Source organism: Homo sapiens, chromosome 18 (assembly GCF_000001405.40).
Source record: "Homo sapiens chromosome 18, GRCh38.p14 Primary Assembly".
Lineage (NCBI taxonomy): Eukaryota > Metazoa > Chordata > Mammalia > Primates > Hominidae > Homo > Homo sapiens.
In genome coordinates, this window is record NC_000018.10 from 36,455,693 (window position 1) to 36,472,828 (window position 17,136).

The 17,136-nt window shown below is 45.4% G+C and overlaps 1 protein-coding gene across 45 annotated transcripts in view, besides 2 other annotated features; it reads left to right on the forward strand.

The window, feature by feature from the left end:
• FHOD3 (formin homology 2 domain containing 3) overlaps positions 1 to 17,136 on the forward strand; it is a 482,508-nt gene that overhangs the window by 157,980 nt on the left and 307,392 nt on the right. The window contains exon 1 of one of the 45 annotated variants that reach the window (XM_017026007.2): positions 12,087 to 12,183. The exons of 43 other annotated variants lie outside the window; for them this stretch is intronic. In XM_017026007.2, coding sequence (XP_016881496.1) covers positions 12,102 to 12,183 — 82 coding nt within the window. In that variant the 5' untranslated portion in view covers positions 12,087 to 12,101. Of the gene's footprint in view, positions 1 to 12,086; positions 12,184 to 12,760; positions 12,867 to 17,136 lie in introns of those variants that run through there. One more of the 45 variants, XM_047437847.1, reaches the window with a different exon arrangement.
• Positions 8,580 to 8,780: a silencer, noted in NCBI's record as "peak3117 fragment used in MPRA reporter construct". NCBI's record gives its function as "represses an SCP1 promoter by STARR-seq MPRAs in K562 erythroleukemia cells {active_cell/tissue: K562}" and the evidence as "EXISTENCE:reporter gene assay evidence [ECO:0000049][PMID:32103011]".
• Positions 14,975 to 15,531: an enhancer, noted in NCBI's record as "H3K27ac-H3K4me1 hESC enhancer chr18:34050630-34051186 (GRCh37/hg19 assembly coordinates)". NCBI's record gives its function as "activates a minimal SCP1, AML or CMV promoter by ChIP-STARR-seq in naive H9 embryonic stem cells {active_cell/tissue: H9 hESC(naive)}" and the evidence as "EXISTENCE:reporter gene assay evidence [ECO:0000049][PMID:30033119]".

A 17,136-nucleotide genomic window follows, 5' to 3' on the forward strand; every position in this document is an offset into this window, starting at 1 on the left:
GCCTTCCTCAGGCTCTGAGGTGAGTTAACCGTCATTGGAGCATACATTTCAGTCTTTACTGCACATGCTTTGATTCTGGCTGCAGCTACCCTAAGTGGAGAATTCATAAACAGGTTGGGCTGTGGCTTTCAGAAGAGTGGCATATTCATCTATTTTTGTTTTCCCCTGAAATTTGGTTCTTCCTTCCCTTCCTGGTCTTTCAGCGGGTGCCATGTTAATGGCTGGAACCACTTGGCAGACATGAATCTCTTGGATGCCGCCCCCTAGTGCAGAAGGTCTGCCTGTAGATACTGTCAAGGCCATGTGCACCCCGAGTTGTGCACCTCAAATGTCCCCTGACATTTACATCTACCATCCCCTAGGGCTTGTACTTTTCCGATGTTTTCCAGACCCCCTGTGAAGTTAATGGGGCTTCTGTTCCTTTGAACTTCTTTTGTCCTGCGCACTGAACAGTGACAGGTAAGCCAGGCTCTCTGGGCCCCTGGTGCAATTATAATTAACCATGGGCCTCAAACAAATCCTTTAGCTATGCATGATTTTCCATCTTTGCATGACCTTTCATGATCTGTGACAAATCAACTTCTGACATTGATTGTAAGGGAGTAGTTTTCCAACAAATGCAAAAGATTGCCTAGAGAGCTGGGGTCCGGGCTGTAGACTTTATCAGCAGCACCATCTTAGGGGTTTGTAGCCTGGATATGCTGATGGTTTTTCTTATCTTCTTGAGAGACAGAGGAAGGAAAGGACAGTTGATTGTAATAGATTAGAAGATTAGTGGAAAAGAAATGGTCATTTCTTATAAAACAGTATGTGTTCCTATGTCATGGGTAAGAATGGAATAGGGGGATGGGGCTGTAGAAATCATCTACCTGTAGTTTTCAAACTGCTCATCAAGGCCCTAGGTGTTCTTGGGGTACTACTGGATGGGGCTGGGGAAGGAGGAGTTCCAGCCTGTGTGTCCCCCACGGGCAACAGTGTCAGTGATGGGGTCAGAGAGGGACCCACTTCTACTGCCTTCCTGGTTGAGCTCTGGGGACTGCACCAAGCTTCTGGAGAGAGCCTTGCTTGTACACACCTCAGCTCTTGCCTGCCCATGTAAAGCAGGACCACACAGCTGAGACTGTCATCCTCCCTCTGTCATGGGGTGACTTGCCACAGTGCCATTTAGTGCTGACTAAGTGTGAGTCTGAGAAGAAAAACATTGATGTCTAAGTATTCACCTTTTAAGGAATCTCCCTTTTAATTAAGGAGGATTCTGTGTTTCCCTGTTTAGCACCTGCATCTTTGGTTTTGTGGGACCATGAAGATGAAGCTTGGGAAGATGTGAGAAAGGCTCTGTGGAGGGTGTAGCTCCAGTCAGGTTCCAGCAGGTGGGAAGGTGAGAAGTGAGAGGAAAAGCCCATAATGTTTTGGGAGGAAAGAGGTTTTAAGGGAGCAGCTGCTGAGATGCATGTGCCTTGGCTGAGAGGGACAGGTGAGGAGAACCTTGAGGATATTTTGCTGTGTGTTGGTGCCCACTCAGAAGACTTCAATATGGATTTAAAAATGCCAGTGAGGAGTGACTTAATGCTGGACTTGCGTTTTTTAATAAATGTAATATGCTGAAGCGCAGCTGGGCACATCACTTACCTGGGTTAGGATCATCCTGTGATGGGCCACCAGGCACCCTGGTGAAAGTGGCAGCCATCAGCATTGGTGGATTGTTCACTGGGAAGAATGCCTTCAGATATGGTACCAAGCTCTGTAGCACACACAAGCTTCCGTACAGAACATCTGACTTTTGCAAAAATTTTGTTTTACATTCAAATACGAAGGGTGTCTGAATCCAACAGTAAAAAGGCAGTCTTCAAAAAGAAAAAAAGGGAAAGGAGCAGCTTTTGTAGTTTGCTTTTATTGGCAGAGCTGAAACTGATTCCATAAGAGTTGACCAATCTTGCCTGATGGTATTAGAGTGAAGGCAACCACAGCAGCAGCTGTAACAGGTGAAGAGTTGTATGTCCACTCCTGAAGTGTTTTTTTCTCTGAGTTGGTACCTGCTCTTTCTTGATTTCTCTGAGAGAGATCCCCAGAGCTTAGTAGAGTTCACTTAGCTCAGGATGTCACAGCCTGGAAATAGTCTAAGGCAGAATTTTGTTTCTGCTGAATCGGATGTTACATAGTAGGCAAAGATCTCAGTAGACTAATTATAGCCTCATTATCTACATGCTATTTATTTCATGAATATTGCAACTATTTTTAACACTCAGATGACATAGAAAGCCCTCTGACCTATACTGAGGGGTAAATTCTGGAGTCCCCAAGAAGGGAGAGAACACTTGAGACTCCATAAAAAGGTGGAGAAAGAGGGAAGCAGAGAGGAGAGGAGTAGGTGGCTTCCTTCACCTCTTCTATTCCTTCTCTTCCCACCCACCTATATCAGAAAGGGTTCTGGATTAAACCAAGTATGGTGTCAGTGATCAATAGAAGTTTCCTCTGGGGGCATTTGGAGGTTCAGAGGAAACTTACAAACTCACCGGAATGACTCTGGTTGGTGAAGGAAGGAAGGAAGGAAGAGGGACGTGGGAACTTATCAGTAATTAGTTTGAGCAGTAGAGGAAAGGAGAGTGGACTTGTGGTTCCCTCTGGCTGCATTTTTGATGTCTCCCTTGCCCCCTTTGTATCCTTATAAGGAGTAACAGAAAAGAGATCCTAACAGTTATTAAAAAACTTTTTTGGCAGCACGTACTTCCAACCACTCACCTACCCTTCCTCACCTCTACAAGTGTGTGCATATCATGGGTTGCCACAGAGATGATTAAAAACCAGAACCAAGGATGGGGAGTGTCTCTGGATTAAAATAGGTGCTTGCCTCAGCTGGGGCCTCTTCTCTGCCCCTCCATTGGCCTGTGGATCTTCTGCTACAATGAGGGGATGTGTGACAGGCTCATGTGTTTTAACAGTACATTCATGGTTTTCTGGTTTGTTTTTTGTTAGGTTTTTTTTTTTTTTTTTTTTTTGGAAAAATTTAAACTTTCCTCCAGTGAAATCTCAAAGTGGCTCTGTTGAACCATCGGGGTGACTTGGCCAAGCTAGCTTTCATGAATCTTTCCCACCTCCCTTTTCTTTTAATTTTCAAATATATTTTAGTACTTTCCAGCCTAGAAGAAAAATCAACCTCTCCATGGAACTTGGCGTATTTTTGAGCTGTGTAATTATTTCTGCACGTATCCTTTCACACATTTTTTCAGACACTGCTGTTACTGAACATTTGACTATGTTGCCTTTTGCCATGACCCCTGCTTTGCCCAGGGGTGGCTTTCAGGGCAGTGTTCCTAATCAGCAGCCTGGAGTTTAGTGAAAGTCTCCTCACTGTTTAAGACTTCTGCCTTGTGAGAAGGCTGTTCTTTAGTTCTTGTCTTTCCCACACTGTGTTTCTTTTTCCTATACTCTCCAGCACTGTCTATTAATGGGCATTTTTATGGCCACACCCCCATCTACTGCCCCTTTGGGGAACAGAAGCCATCATAAGAAAAAAGACATCCTGATTGAGAAAGAGGAGCTTGCAGTCTAGTTGGGCAGATAAGTGATACATACACAACAGAGTAAGGCAACTATGACAAAGGGGATTGTTAGAGAAAGAGAAGGTGGAAAATAAGTACATTGCTGATGTGGCATGAGCAGTGACTGCAAAGAGGAGTGCAGGAGAGAGTGATCAATCAAACCCTGCTCACACCCAGAGCTTAGAGCTGGGCGAACCGCCTCGCTGGCTGGGCTGCCTTAGGTGAGGGGAGTACCTTGGGGTAGTTGTTATTGGGTCCTCCTATGAAACCTTCATTATGCGGTGTGGTGAGGCCTTCACAGACAGCCCTGTCTGACCTGCAGTGTGGGGGAAGACTCTAGCCAACTTCTGTCATCCTCAGGCCTTGGAGAAAGGGAAGCTGTGGTCAAATGGTCGTGGTATTAGATGATCAAGTATAAAAGCAGAGCATTTTGATTTTTTTTTCATTTTGAAAAATATAGCTTTAAAATAGTTTTAGATTTACAGAAAAATTGTAAAGATAGTACAGAGAATTCCTTTATATCCCACACTGTTACCTCTATTATTAACAGCTTACACTAAGCTGGTACTTTTGTCACAATTAATGTTATCTAGAGTGTCATACTTCATTAGATTCCCTTTGTTTTTAGCTGATGCCCTTTTCCTCTTCCAGGATTCTGTCCAGGACCCCACATTACAATGAGTTGTCACGCCTCCTTAGGCTCTTCTTGGCTGTGACAGTTTCTCAGACTTTCCTTGTTTTTGATGACCTTGCTAGTTTTGTCCAGTGCTGGTCAGATATTGAGTAAAGTGTCCCTCGATTGTGATTTGTCTCATGTCTTTCTCATCATTAGAATGGGGTTATATGCTTTCTAATGTGCCATTCTCACCACATCCCATCAAGGACTAGTACTGTCAGCATGACTTACGACTTGATGTTAACCTTAAGCACCTGGCTGAGGTAGCATTTGTCAGACTGTCCCCCACTGTTCTGCTACTCTTTCTCTCCCCTTTCTATGCTGCACTTGTTGGAAGGAAGTCACCATACGCAGCCCAAAATCAAGGGATGGGACTTACCCCTCTGTTATTTGAGGGCAGAATGGAAGATTTGTTTATTCTTCCCATTGTATGTATTTATTGAGTCATCTGTTTATATCAGTAAAGACTTGTGACTATTTTATATTTCAGATTGTAATCTAATGCTATTTCAAGCAGGGGCTTGGTAAGCCACACATCACCATGCAAACGTGAGGCACTAATACAATCATTGTGTGATGTGCTAACCCGGAGGTCCTTTTTCCAGGGAGCATTACTGTAAGCTGCTTCCTGAAGAGGCCCCACAAGCTGTGCAACACACTGCATGGGCAGTGGAATTCAGTAGCTCCTAACCTGTGTGCTCAGTTTATGGGAACATGTGTTTACAGTGCCAGTTGATAGACAAGGCCCTGTCCCACTGCTGCCATGGGGTCACTCAGTTGTAGTGTTGAATCCTGATTCCCCCATTATTTTTATATTAATGACCACATAGCAAGTCACTAAACATCACTTTCTAATAGGTCAAATTTGGACATTAAGACCTGTGTCAGAGGGTTGTTGAGAGAAGTGAATACAGAGGTGCCTGTGAAGTGACTGGCACAGAGGAGATTATTATTAGGTTTCCTACATGCTCCTGCTCCCCCTTCACCTGCTGAAAGTGAGGTCTCCCTGGAACCCAAGGTGCTGATGCTGACCCCTGGGCATAGCAGATGAAAGTTGTTGGCAGTGGTAATTATGGGGGCCAAGACCTTCGGAGCGGTGCACAGGATGCAGGTTGAGAGTGGAGCACAGGATGAGGGTTGAGAGGGAGGGACTGAATAGCTCACGGCAGGGGATCCCTTGCAGAGTAAGGGAGGGCAGGGCTGAGAAGGGGCTTTGCTGCAGGTCCTCAGATACACCTCTGTTTCTGTGCCATGCTCTGGGGCCAGCCTGCTCACTCCTCTTCCATTGCTATCAGCCACTGCTTCTGAGAAAGGCTGCTGTCCTTCCTGTGTCAACACAGCACCTTCTTTCCATTGCTCTTTCCTCACTTGTTCCTGAAGGGAGAAGGAACTCACCAATAATGGTAGGCACACACCTGAAGACTGAAAGGATTTTTTTCATTCCATTCTCACCCTTTTCTATTAGATTGTTACTGGGAATAAAGTTTTTTACTATCTGTGAAGGTTAGGGGAACCCAAATTTGAGCTCAGTCTGTTTTTTTTTGTGTGTGTGTTTTTTTTTTTCTCCAAAGCCTTTGAATTTACCCTCTTTGCCCTCATGGTTGACAGTGACTTGGCTCGTGGAATTGCTGGCATTGGAATCTCAATTAGAGGTATTTGAGGACTTCAAGAATCTCAGAGGGTTCAAAGATTACCCGCTTCTGCTTCTCATAGCTTCTAAATTTGCTTTTGTGGGCTAGCCTGGGAATGCATCCAACATAGGCAACATTGCTTTCATAGGGAAATTTCTTTTCAAGTTCAAGTAACTAACTTACCAATAAATTCTTGGAATGTAGGGCAGGTAGCTTTCCTTGCAGAACTGGGGTTCTGCCTGTCTGTTGGGTAAGAACCAAGCAGGATTCCAGCAAGGAAGGGGGTGATGTAGTGGAAAGAGTATGGCACTAGGAGTTGGAAGACCTATGCCTTAGTCATAGACCTGTCACAATTACTGTGATCCTGAGCCAGTCCCTTCTAAGCTTGAGGTTTTCATTTCTTTTTCAATAAAATTAAGTTGGACAGGAAGATCTTGAAGATAACTTTCAGGTCTAAGAACATAGTATCCACTGTAGAATAATATGCAAAAGTGAAAGTAGTTGTGGTAAATTTGGGATGATTTTATATAAATCTGTTATCATTACAGATGCTTTATGATTTTTTTAAAGTAGAAAGTGCTGAGCTGCCTTGACTTTTCCTATACCATGGCTCATGGTGAGGGTGAGTAGACTTACCCACCAGTGGGGTTGTTCACTCACCAGGAACAGAGGGAGACATCCTTGTGGCTTTGGTGAAGCCAGTTTGAATGCAAGTAGCTTTCCCTCCAGCTACCTTCCTTCAGTTCTCTCGTGTGTGTGTGTGTGTGTGTTTGTTTTGTTTTGCTTTTTGGTTGGTTGGTTGGTTGTTTTTGAGACAGAGTCTCGCTCTGTTGCCCAGGCTGGAGTGCAGTGGTGCTATCTCGGCTCACTGCAAGCTCTGCCTCCTGGGTTCACGCCATTCTTCTGCTTCAGCCTCCTGAGTAGCTGGGACTACAGGATCCTGCCACCACGCCCAGCTAATTTTTTGTGTTTTTAGTAGAGATGGGGTTTCACTGTGTTAGCAAGGATGGTCTCAATCTCCTGAGCTTGTGATCGCCTGCCTCGGCATCCCAAAGTGCTAGGATTACAGGCTGTTTGTTTGTTTTTTAGACAGGGTCTTGCTCTGTCACCCAAGCTAGAGTGCAGTGGTGCAATCATAGCTTTCTGTGTGATCATAGCTTACTGCAACCTTGAACTCCTAAGCACAAGTGAACCTCTTGCCTCAACCACCTGTGTAGCTAGGGCTACTCGTGTGTGCCACTATTTGCAGCTAATTTTTAAATATATTTCATAGAGATGGGATCTACCTATATTGCCCCGATTAATCTTGAACTCCTGGCTCAAGTGATCTGACTGCCTTGACCTCCCAAAATGCTGGGATTATAGATATGAGATGTGAGCTATGTACCCAACCCACTTATCTGATCTTGATGTATTGGATGGCTAAAATAATTTATATGAAATTACTGAATCTAGAAGTTTCTCAGTAGTTTAAAGACAAATAGTAATGTCTAGCAATAAATAGTAATGTCTCCAGTTGTATACCAACCCATTGCAACTCTGATTTCCATGATTTCTCAACTTTTTAAAAGATTGACAACTATGTTAATGGGAATTTTATCACCACATATTAACTAATTTAGATTTAAAATTTTAGTAAAATCCAAATTAGTTAGGTGGTTGTCTTCCATTTCCATTATCTCTGTTCATTTAGAATTGAATAAATAGGAATTATTTTCTGAAAACCTTGTAGGCTGTGACAAGCATTTAACCCAAGTGCCACTAAAATATATATATGTAATATATATTTTTATTTAAAAAAATAATATATATTTTTATTTAAAAAAATAATATATATTTTTATTTAAAAAAATAATATATATTTTTATTTAAAAAAATAATATATATTTTTATTTAAAAAATATATTTTTTATTTAAAAAATATTTTTGTTTATTTAAAAATTTTTTTTGTTTATTTAAAAAATATATATATTTTTTGAGACAGAATCTTGCCATGTCGCCCCAGGCTGGAGTGCAGTGGTGTTATCTCGGCTTACTGCAACCTCTGTCTCCCTGCCTCAAGCAATCATCCCACCTCAGCCTCCTGAGCTGGGACTACAGGTGTGCACCACCATGCCCAGCTAATTTTTGTATTTTCTGTAGAGATAGGGTTTCACCATGTTGCCCAGGCTGTTCTCGAACTCCTGTGCTTAAGCAATCTGCCCGCCTTAGCCTCCCAGTGCTGGGATTACAGGCATGAGCCACCATACCTGGCCCAAGTGCCAATTTATTTGCAGAAAATATAAATGTTCTCAGTGCTTTCTTCGTGTTTTTAAGCTTAGGAGACACTAGAAGTTGGAGAAATTAAAATCTAATTATTTTTCTTTAAAACTTTTTTTTCTTATTTGGGTTGCTGTTAAATAATAAAATACTCAAACATAAGATTGATTCAGAAAATAGCTTCTTAAGCTCAAAAATATTGCTAGAATTGTTCTCAATAATAGAACAAGTAGTTTTTGCAATGAGATTAAATAGGAGAAAGCAACCATCTTTAATTCTATTTAGTCAGAAGAGCCTTATGCTTCCAATAGCTGACATTCAACTTGGACCGTATCTGTGGCCAGGTTGATAATTCTTTTGGGAAACATGCCACTGCACTTGAGTTTTCAGATGATTGTGTCAATATTGACGTGTCGAAGAAATGAACTGCATGCCTCTCTGATAAAAGGTATCTGGTGAAGGGATTAGCAAAGGACAAGTCAGTTAGAGCAATAAACATTCCTTTCATTAGTAACGTTTGAGCAGTTCCTAAGGACATTTTGCTGCCCTTAAAATTATTCCAGAAAATGCTTACTGCTATTTGAGATGTGCAGCGGGGCAGACCTCTGGATACTTCTAAGGCTTGGTATGCTTTGTACTGGGTGATGCTGCCATACAGCTTGGACTCCAGCACCCAGGAGGCTCAGGCCAGGGATGGATTGGCTCCTGTGGAGTGAGTCAAGCCCAGTCAAGGAAACTTGGGTCAAGAAGATAAAAATTCCATCAACTAACACTTAAGAGACATTGCACTTCTTTTCCTTTGGTGACTGCCAATGTGATAACTTACAGAAGGGGAAAGGATCTGTGTGCAAGTGGAGAAAGAGAGGGAGTGCCAGAGACACAGTCAGAGAGGGAGACCAGGCTGGGTCCTTAGGAGGGAAGGAGGCCCAGGAGGAGGCAAAGGGGGAGGGAGGTCCTGGGAGGAGGAGGAGAGGGTTGGTTTCAGAGGAAATAAGAACAAAGACTCATCTTTCAGCACTCTTCTTGCTCCCACCCTCTGTCTCTCCCCCCTCTTTCTTCCTTCTTTCTTGTGTACCATAGGCCCCAAAACACACAGGGATAGCTGCCCTTCAGTGTCCGACTATCTTTTTCTGTGACACACACACACACACGCAGGCAAACTGCCATGGGATGTTTACAACTTTTTAAATAATAGTAAAATAGAAATATAAAAATTGGTATGACAATCTTAGGCAAAAAGTTAGACATGGCTGGGCGCTGTGGCTCACGCCTGTAATCCCAGCACTTTGGGAGGCTGAGGAGGGCGGATCACTTCAGGACAAGAGTTCGAGACCAGCCTGGCCAACATGGTGAAACCCCATCTCTACTAAAAATACAAAAATTAGCTGGGCATGGTGGCGGGCACCTGTAATTCCAGCTACTCAGGAGGCTGAGACAGGAGAATTGCTTGAACTCGGGAGGCGGAAGTTGCAGTGAGCTGAGATCATGCAATTGCACTCCAGCCTGGGTGACAGAGCAAACAAACAAACAAAAAAAACAATTAGACACGGATCTCATACCCTAAGAGGAGCACAAGCAATGATGTTCGTGGCTGCCTCCAGAACCATGGGTCCGAAATGACCTGGGCCTGGACTGGCGAGGGCTGAGGCTGTGGCCTGGGCTGGCTTCTGCAAAGCGCAGGGGTGGGAGCCAGGGGTTGGTACAGGAGGGGCAGTGCTGCCCACCCGCCCTTGTGGAAGGCTTTTCTAGCCCATTGCTCCTCCCTGACACTGCTTCCAGGGGTGTGATGGTGGAAGGCTTGGCTGATGGCTTCCTAATGATTCTAGGTTCATCAGACATTTGTGAGAGATTGATCACCCACACATTGACTTAAACCAAGGATCCTAAGTAGGTTTTCTTTCAAGGACCAAGCCTATTGATTGATACTAGATTTCTGAAATGCTGTGTTTAGGGTGATCTGAGGCTGTGTGTGGGCGTGGTGGGTTCAATTTGTACTGCTTGCCATGAGGGTCATGGCAGAGAGAGGTGGTTTTTCCTTCTCTAATCTAAATCCTTCTAAATTACATTAACCTTAGATTCTCCTCCCTCTTCTTAATGCATAGGGACATTTCGCCTACTCAGACTGAGTCTGAGATTAGATCTGACCTCAATTCTAAAGCATAAAATTGGAGCAAGTCCTTGAAGTAGCTTGACCACAATCCGGCTTTCTCACCTCCTTGTATGCCCTTTTCCCCTCTCTGCCCTCTCACCCACCCCCAATGCATACAAATCTCATGTGATCCTGACATTACTGAATAAATAAATACATGTTACTCTCCTGCAGAGAGCTGCCCATACCCCAGGGTGAATGACTTCAGTCCATGTTATCCCAGAGGGAGGGAGACTCTCAGGCTATCCCGCAGAGACATGACTTGCTGAAAATGGGTGAATTTGCATTCAAGTCCTCAGTGAGCCCTTGTCTGGGTTTCGCTATGAAACCAAATGGGATTCCACTCATCTGGCTCAATAAGACAGGTATCTATACTGAGGTTTGCAGCAGGAGAAGGGGAGATATTTCTCTGCAGGAGACAAGCAAGGAGGACTAGGCAGCTGTTGCTCAAATGCTGACCTCCTCCATGGCTTGAAGGTCAGGGCTTTTAAAGGCAGGGGTATATTTTAGGAAAGCAGAAGTTACAGGCAAAATCATAAATCAATAATACATGGAGGTTACACGTTGGTTTTGGGCTTTTAAATGGGGGGAATATCTTGAGGCAGAGGGCTTATAGATCATTGGTAGATTTAAAGATTTTCTGATTTGCAATTGGTTAAAGAAGGGAAACTTTGTTTAAAAACTTGGGGTCAGCAGAAAAGAATGTTAGCTGCACCTCATGGGTGGGTCTTTCTCCAGGCCCCTCAGGAAGAAATTTAGAATAAGAATGGTGGTGAGAGGTCAGCCTCCTTATCTGAGGTCTGTGTGCTGGCAGGTCCATTTGGTGGGAGTCAGAGTTTCTGAAAAACAACTCAGAGACATACGTTAAGTAAGATGTTATCTTTAGTTTTTAGAGGGGAACCAAACGTTTTGTGATTTTAGCTTTTTTTTTTTTGGCTATTGTTTTAGGCTACTATTACCTTGTTTACCAAGTTGCTTATTAACTTCTCAAGGCTAGGTAGGTACCTGGAATTCCCCTTTAAGGGACCCTAGATTTTAAAAAACTTATGTTTGGGGGGACCTGCAGGCCCCTAAGAGGGGATCCCTGCCCCATCTCAGTTTGGACACCAGCTGTGGGCTGGTTTCTTCAGGCCCTGACTGCTCCTGCTGACCAGCGAGTCTCCAGCTCTTTACAGCAGGTGGACAGGATGGTGCACTCCTTGCGAGAGACCCTGGGAAGGTAAGAGCCGAGCACACCACCCTTCACCTTCGTCTTAGGAGCCTCACATGCCCTCCTTGGTTTTCATTTGTTCTCTTCCAGTCACCTCCTAGTAATTCTGACAGACTGTCAGCCCCTCCATGGCATAATTTTTCTTCTGGAGAAGTTAGAAAGCCATTGTGTGAAGAACATCTTCAACATTTTAAAGCTAGAAGTGTCCTCTCCTTCCAACCCTGTATTCCTGAGGGAGAGCGAACCATCCAGGCATGCCACATAGCCATTAATACCACCTTGTGGTTACCCTAGAAGCTCTCCAGCTTGGGGTCCCCTTCTTCCCTTCCAGGGCAGAGGCAAGAGATTGGTCTAGCCTGCGCCAGCGTCACTCCAGGAGGGTGCTGTGAGGGAGCGAAGGGGGTCAAGGGCAAATCCCTTGACTGCCTGGACTCAAATCCCAGCTCAGGTGAGAGCTGGGTGAAAGGTCACATGAGCTTTCTAACCTCATTTGCTTGTTTATAAAACCAAGAAAACACCCTTCCCTACCCTAGGACCGTTGAAGAGCAAGTGTGAAGTGCTTGGCACACACACGGCATCCTAGCAGTGCTTAGGGCTGGCCTTTGCACTGTGGGGTGGGCGTTGCCCTGCCACAGAGATGGGCTCTGTTTATTTAACATTCAACCCTCGACATGAATGCTCCTGTGCTTTGGGCAGAGGTGGCTCCAGGCGTTCTGCGGGTAAGTGCTGCCTGTGGCACGGGTGCCTGCACTGCAGACCTCGAGAAGTGGGTCCAAATGTTAAGAAACGAAATGCCAAGAAAGCCCAAATGATTTGCACAGTCTGAAGGCAGACGGTAGGTCTGTCCGCACAGCAGGATAGTTGGGTGGCCCCTGGGGTTCCCATGTACTTCCCACTTCCACTCTATTGTGGCCTGAAGTCAGGTGCTCCCATGCGAAGCTTCTGGGAGCCGAGAGGGGAAGAAAGGCAGTGAGAACAAGCAAGGGTCGAATGCTGACCTGGTGGCAGCCAGGTGCATCCCCACAGGGACCCAGGCTGCTGGCTGGTCTCTGATGTGCCTTCCACCTTAATGACTCTGCAGTGCCGAAGCCATAGGGATAAGTGGCTACCTCTCCCCTCGCCTGGGTAATGCTGCCTGGAGGACAAGGCTGTTACGGAAAAATGTGGCACTAAGAATAGCCAGCTAGACGTGGTGATAAGGGCCCAGATGGCCAGGGATGTCAGCTGGGGACAGGGAAGGCGGAGGTGGTGGAGAAAGAAGAGGGTGATAAGATAGGGGCAGCAACACCGGAATGCACAGCTGGGGCTCTGGAGACAGGCCACAGGAGTCTGCCGTGGGCGAGGGAGCTGCCCGGAGCTCCTTCTGGCTGTGCCCTGTGGGTGTGAGCCAGTGGAAGGGAAGGTGAGTGCCAGCCTGAGCAAATCAATCAGGGAATTTCAGGGGCAGTGGGATTTTAGTGATCCTGGCTTTTACCTCCATCCACCCCTAGTACTTTAGAGGGGGAGGAATTTGTGGCTTTGAGATGTGAAGGGGCCACTTGGAGGTTGGTGGCAGAGCTCAGTCCAACCCCAGATCTTCTGCCTTTCCCACAGGTTTCCTTCTGCCACCACCCCAGGCCCTGCTGTGGCTGCCACCTTGTGAGCCTCTGCTCCACACCTGGGAGTGCAAGCCACCTCCAGCTGAGAGCTAGCAAGGGTGCAGGCAATGGTAATCCCACCGACAGACACTGAGAACCTTTGAGGCGGCAGGTCTGGAAAATACAACAGACAAGGCTGAGCCTTCCTGGGGCTCAGGGAAGGAGAGGAGTCGGACAGTTAACAAGTAAACAAGCAAACACTTGTGTCAGTTTCAAATTATGACAAGAGCTAGGAAGGAAACTGAGTAATACAAGTCTTGATTAGGAAGTTTCCCTTGCCATACTTGGGGGTCTTTCCCCTTAGAACTGTGACCACTGTGATGCCTGTTGAGAACAGGGGTGTAATTTTCTGTTTTACATATACCCTCTTCATCCTAAACCCCAGCCCCCATCCTATCACCAGGTATAGAGCTATACACAATAAGCAAATATTGACCCTCTCAGGGCCAGATGATTACTGTTTACTCCTTCTTTATGAAACTTAAGGAGACATATCCCCTATGGTGGATTTGGGTACAAATTAAGGGGCACGTGTAAACCACACTCAGAGATCCTAGGCCAAGTTTGTAGCTTTTATCGCCGAGCTGCCCACTGCAGTGTAGACAGTTGTCCTGCCCGGTGCTCCAACTGGGAGGTGGGGTGGGGGCTGCAGAGCATTTGTTGCTCCCCTGATCCCATGTACAGCAGGCTGGCTGGGCTCTCTTCAAGGTATTCACCATATTATCCTTTGGTAGTGGGAGTTCCAAAGTGGCATGTTTAGGACATGAAAACCCAACTGCTTCATAAGCTCTCAGAAATCAAACCCTTTGACATCAGCTATCACTCGACCAAGAGGCAGCTGATGCTGGCACAAAAATAACTTGGCAGGCATGTCAGGCTCGGCAGGGGGTTGTGAGGCCTCATCACCTTTGGTTGGATCTCAATGTGAAACCAGCTGGTGCTCTGACCAGGATTTAAGGGCGTTCAAAGTTGTTCCGGAGTTGTGGGCGCTAGCAAGCCCTAGGAAAGTTGTTGGAGGGTTAAGGGGGTGGCGGCGGGGTCTGCGGGGGAAGCTCCAGTCCTCTGTGGCTAAGCCAGGATAAGCATTATTATTTCCACAAATCAAGCCACGTTCATGCATAGTTCCCCTTGTGTCCTGATCTATGTAATTATGGAATGCATATGTGTGGGAAGGAGTCTTTGGAAAACCGGTTCCTGTTCTTCATCAAGAGGCTGACCTAGAAGTTTAGGAAATTGGTTCATGGGGAAATTCTGTAGCAGAGAGCTGGCAGGAATTCCAGATGGTAGGAGAGCGGGGTGCCCGAGGCAGGCAGGGGCCATGCCTGGGCTGCCTTGTCCTCTGGAGCAGGTCCTAGGAACGTGGCAGTTAGCATACCCTTGTGAAGTCTGGAGGCCTCCGGGGGGTTTCTCTTCTGTACTGAGCAGACCCCCATCCGGTTTTGCTCACCATTGTCTGCCCAATGCTGAATAGATGCCTATCACACAGAAGATGCTCAATAAATATTAGTGACATGAATGAGTGTCCTATAGTCTCCCTGGCCTCAGTTTCCCCAGATGTAATGTGAAGGAACTGGATTAGCTCAGAGGCAAAGGATTTTACCGTTCACGTCTATGACGGTTGTCTTGTAGTGACAGGAGAGCTTTGTTGAGATGTTTCTGAAGCCAAGATTTGGCATGGAACTGGGGGAGGGAGTGGAATAGGATACACCAGAGTTCTCCCTAATAGGACTTTCTCACGTCCTTGTGCTCACTAAAACCTATATGGTTGTATAATTATACAATATGTGTGTAATTGTATCGTTCTAATAGAGTTTTAGCTGGTATGGAGCTTGATAGTCTTTACAGATACTGGATCCAATCATTGGCTTTGTTTGTTCCCTGGTGAGCAAAATGATAGTAGCCACTCTGCCTCTGGGGGGCAAAAAGCAGACAAATTTAGTTCAGGCTCAGCTCAGATTCCCGCTCCGCGCTGGGATATTGAAGTCCTCACTGGCAATAAGGGATAAAAAGGTTGAGGCAATGGAATTGGAAATGAAATAACAGACAGGGAGCCTGGCAGGTGGCAGCAATGGTGAGTTAATGGTAAGTAACCCGCAGCTTCGCCCCTGGACTGATGGTGCCTTCCGTGGGGTCTTTGCTCCCAGCTGAACTGGGACATGATGGCACCTGTGTGGGTGGCCTGCTTTACTCCTCTAGAGCAGAGACCTCAGGGCTTTCATTCCTGGCTTTGAACGCCCACAATTACTCCCACATGGCTCAGGGATCGCAGTGTCCCAGAGTTAATGATGCAAATGCAGCTGTGCCCTAAAACAAAAGGCAGCGGGTATGCGCTTTGGAGAGGGCGTGCATTTGGGAAGATGAGGATGCTCCTCCTGGTACTCTGCCCAGCCCACAAAGCAGAGGAGCATGAGCCCGTGCCATGTGAATGCTGATAGGAGTGTCCTGAGCTGGTGAACACCATGCTGCCACCTCTCTGAGGTGCAGTCTCTCCCTGAGGCCCCACACCCCAGCTCTGGGTCCTGCCTGACCCGAGCCAGCTTGCATCCTGCTTTACTGTCTGCTTTCTCAAGGTTTCCTGAGGCTACACCTCCTCCCAGAAGGCTTCAAAATTGTTATGCGTGGATATCACCCCTTTGTTTTCCTTGGTCACCCTGTGTCCACAGCAAGTGGTTGTCGATCGACTGCCCTGCCCTGGTGGCCCCTGGACTTCTCCTGAGTACTGGGCTCACTTAGAACAAAGAGAAGTCCAGGCAATTAGGATCAGAACAATGGTCTATTCAGCACTTCTCCAAGCAAAGACTCCTTTTGTCCAGAGTGCTGACTTCGGAAAGTTCTTCTTGAGGTTTTGGTGTAGGAAATTAGAATCACCAGGGCAAAGACAGTAAAAGAGAACTTCCCTGTGGGAAAATGACCCTGTTTAAAGGTAGTTGGTTTTCTGCTACTCACACAAATGCTTGTCTGTCTATCCACAGAATAAGTGATACTTTCTTTGCAGCACGCGGAAAGGTTTTTTGTTTCAGGGAAGCAGCTTCCAGGGCACAATTTTGTTTCTATCCCGGGGACGTTTCACATAAACGAGATGATATGAGTAATGATTTTCATAGTGTTTGTGGGCAATGACAAAATACCTGTGAAAGAATCCAATCCAGATGGAGAACCAATTGTTATTTCCAACCATTTTAGTTCCCAGGGTTAAAGTCAGCAAATACTGGCTGAGAGGATAAAATCCTCAAACTCAGATAATGATGTTGCTTGAAAAAATGGAAGTCTCTAACCAAAACTGAAAAGAATATTAATTGCAAATTCCACTTCTCCATAGTGCATACTTTGCTGTAATCTTAAATATATAAGTTACTTGGCCTACATGATTTCTATTAAGATGCAGCTTTTATAAACTTTCGAGTATGAATTAGCATCTGGTGGTGTTTTCGATGAATACTTCTGAAGGCTTTGTGTGAGGAAGCCTGTTAGGGTAATGGCAACCTCTCTCTCACAATAGTCCCTTGTAGAATACTCCTGTGTCATCCCTGTTTTATGGATGAGAAAAAACCAATTTGTCTAAGATCAAATATTTAACATGTGAAGGAGCTAGAATTTTTAAACAGCTTATTGAGATATAATTTACATACCATAAAATTCTCCCTTTTAAAGTGTGCAATTCAGTGGTTTTTAGTAGATTCACCAAATTTTGCAGCCATTGCCAGTATCTAATTCCAGAACATTTTCATCACCCCAAATAAAAACCTTATACCCACTAGCAGTCACTCCTCATCCCCATCTTTTCCTCCCCAGCCCTAGGTAGCCACTGATCTACTTCTGTCTCTGTGCTTTTGCCTGTGCTGGACAATTCATATATACAGAATCATATAATATGTGGTCTTTTGGGACCGGCTTCTTCCACTTAACATAGTGTTTTTTCAGCTTCATCCATGTTGTAACATGTATCAATACTTCTTTTTTTCTACTGCTGTGTAATTTTCCAGTGCATGTATATGCCACATTGCATCTATCCATTCATCAGTTGATGGACATTTG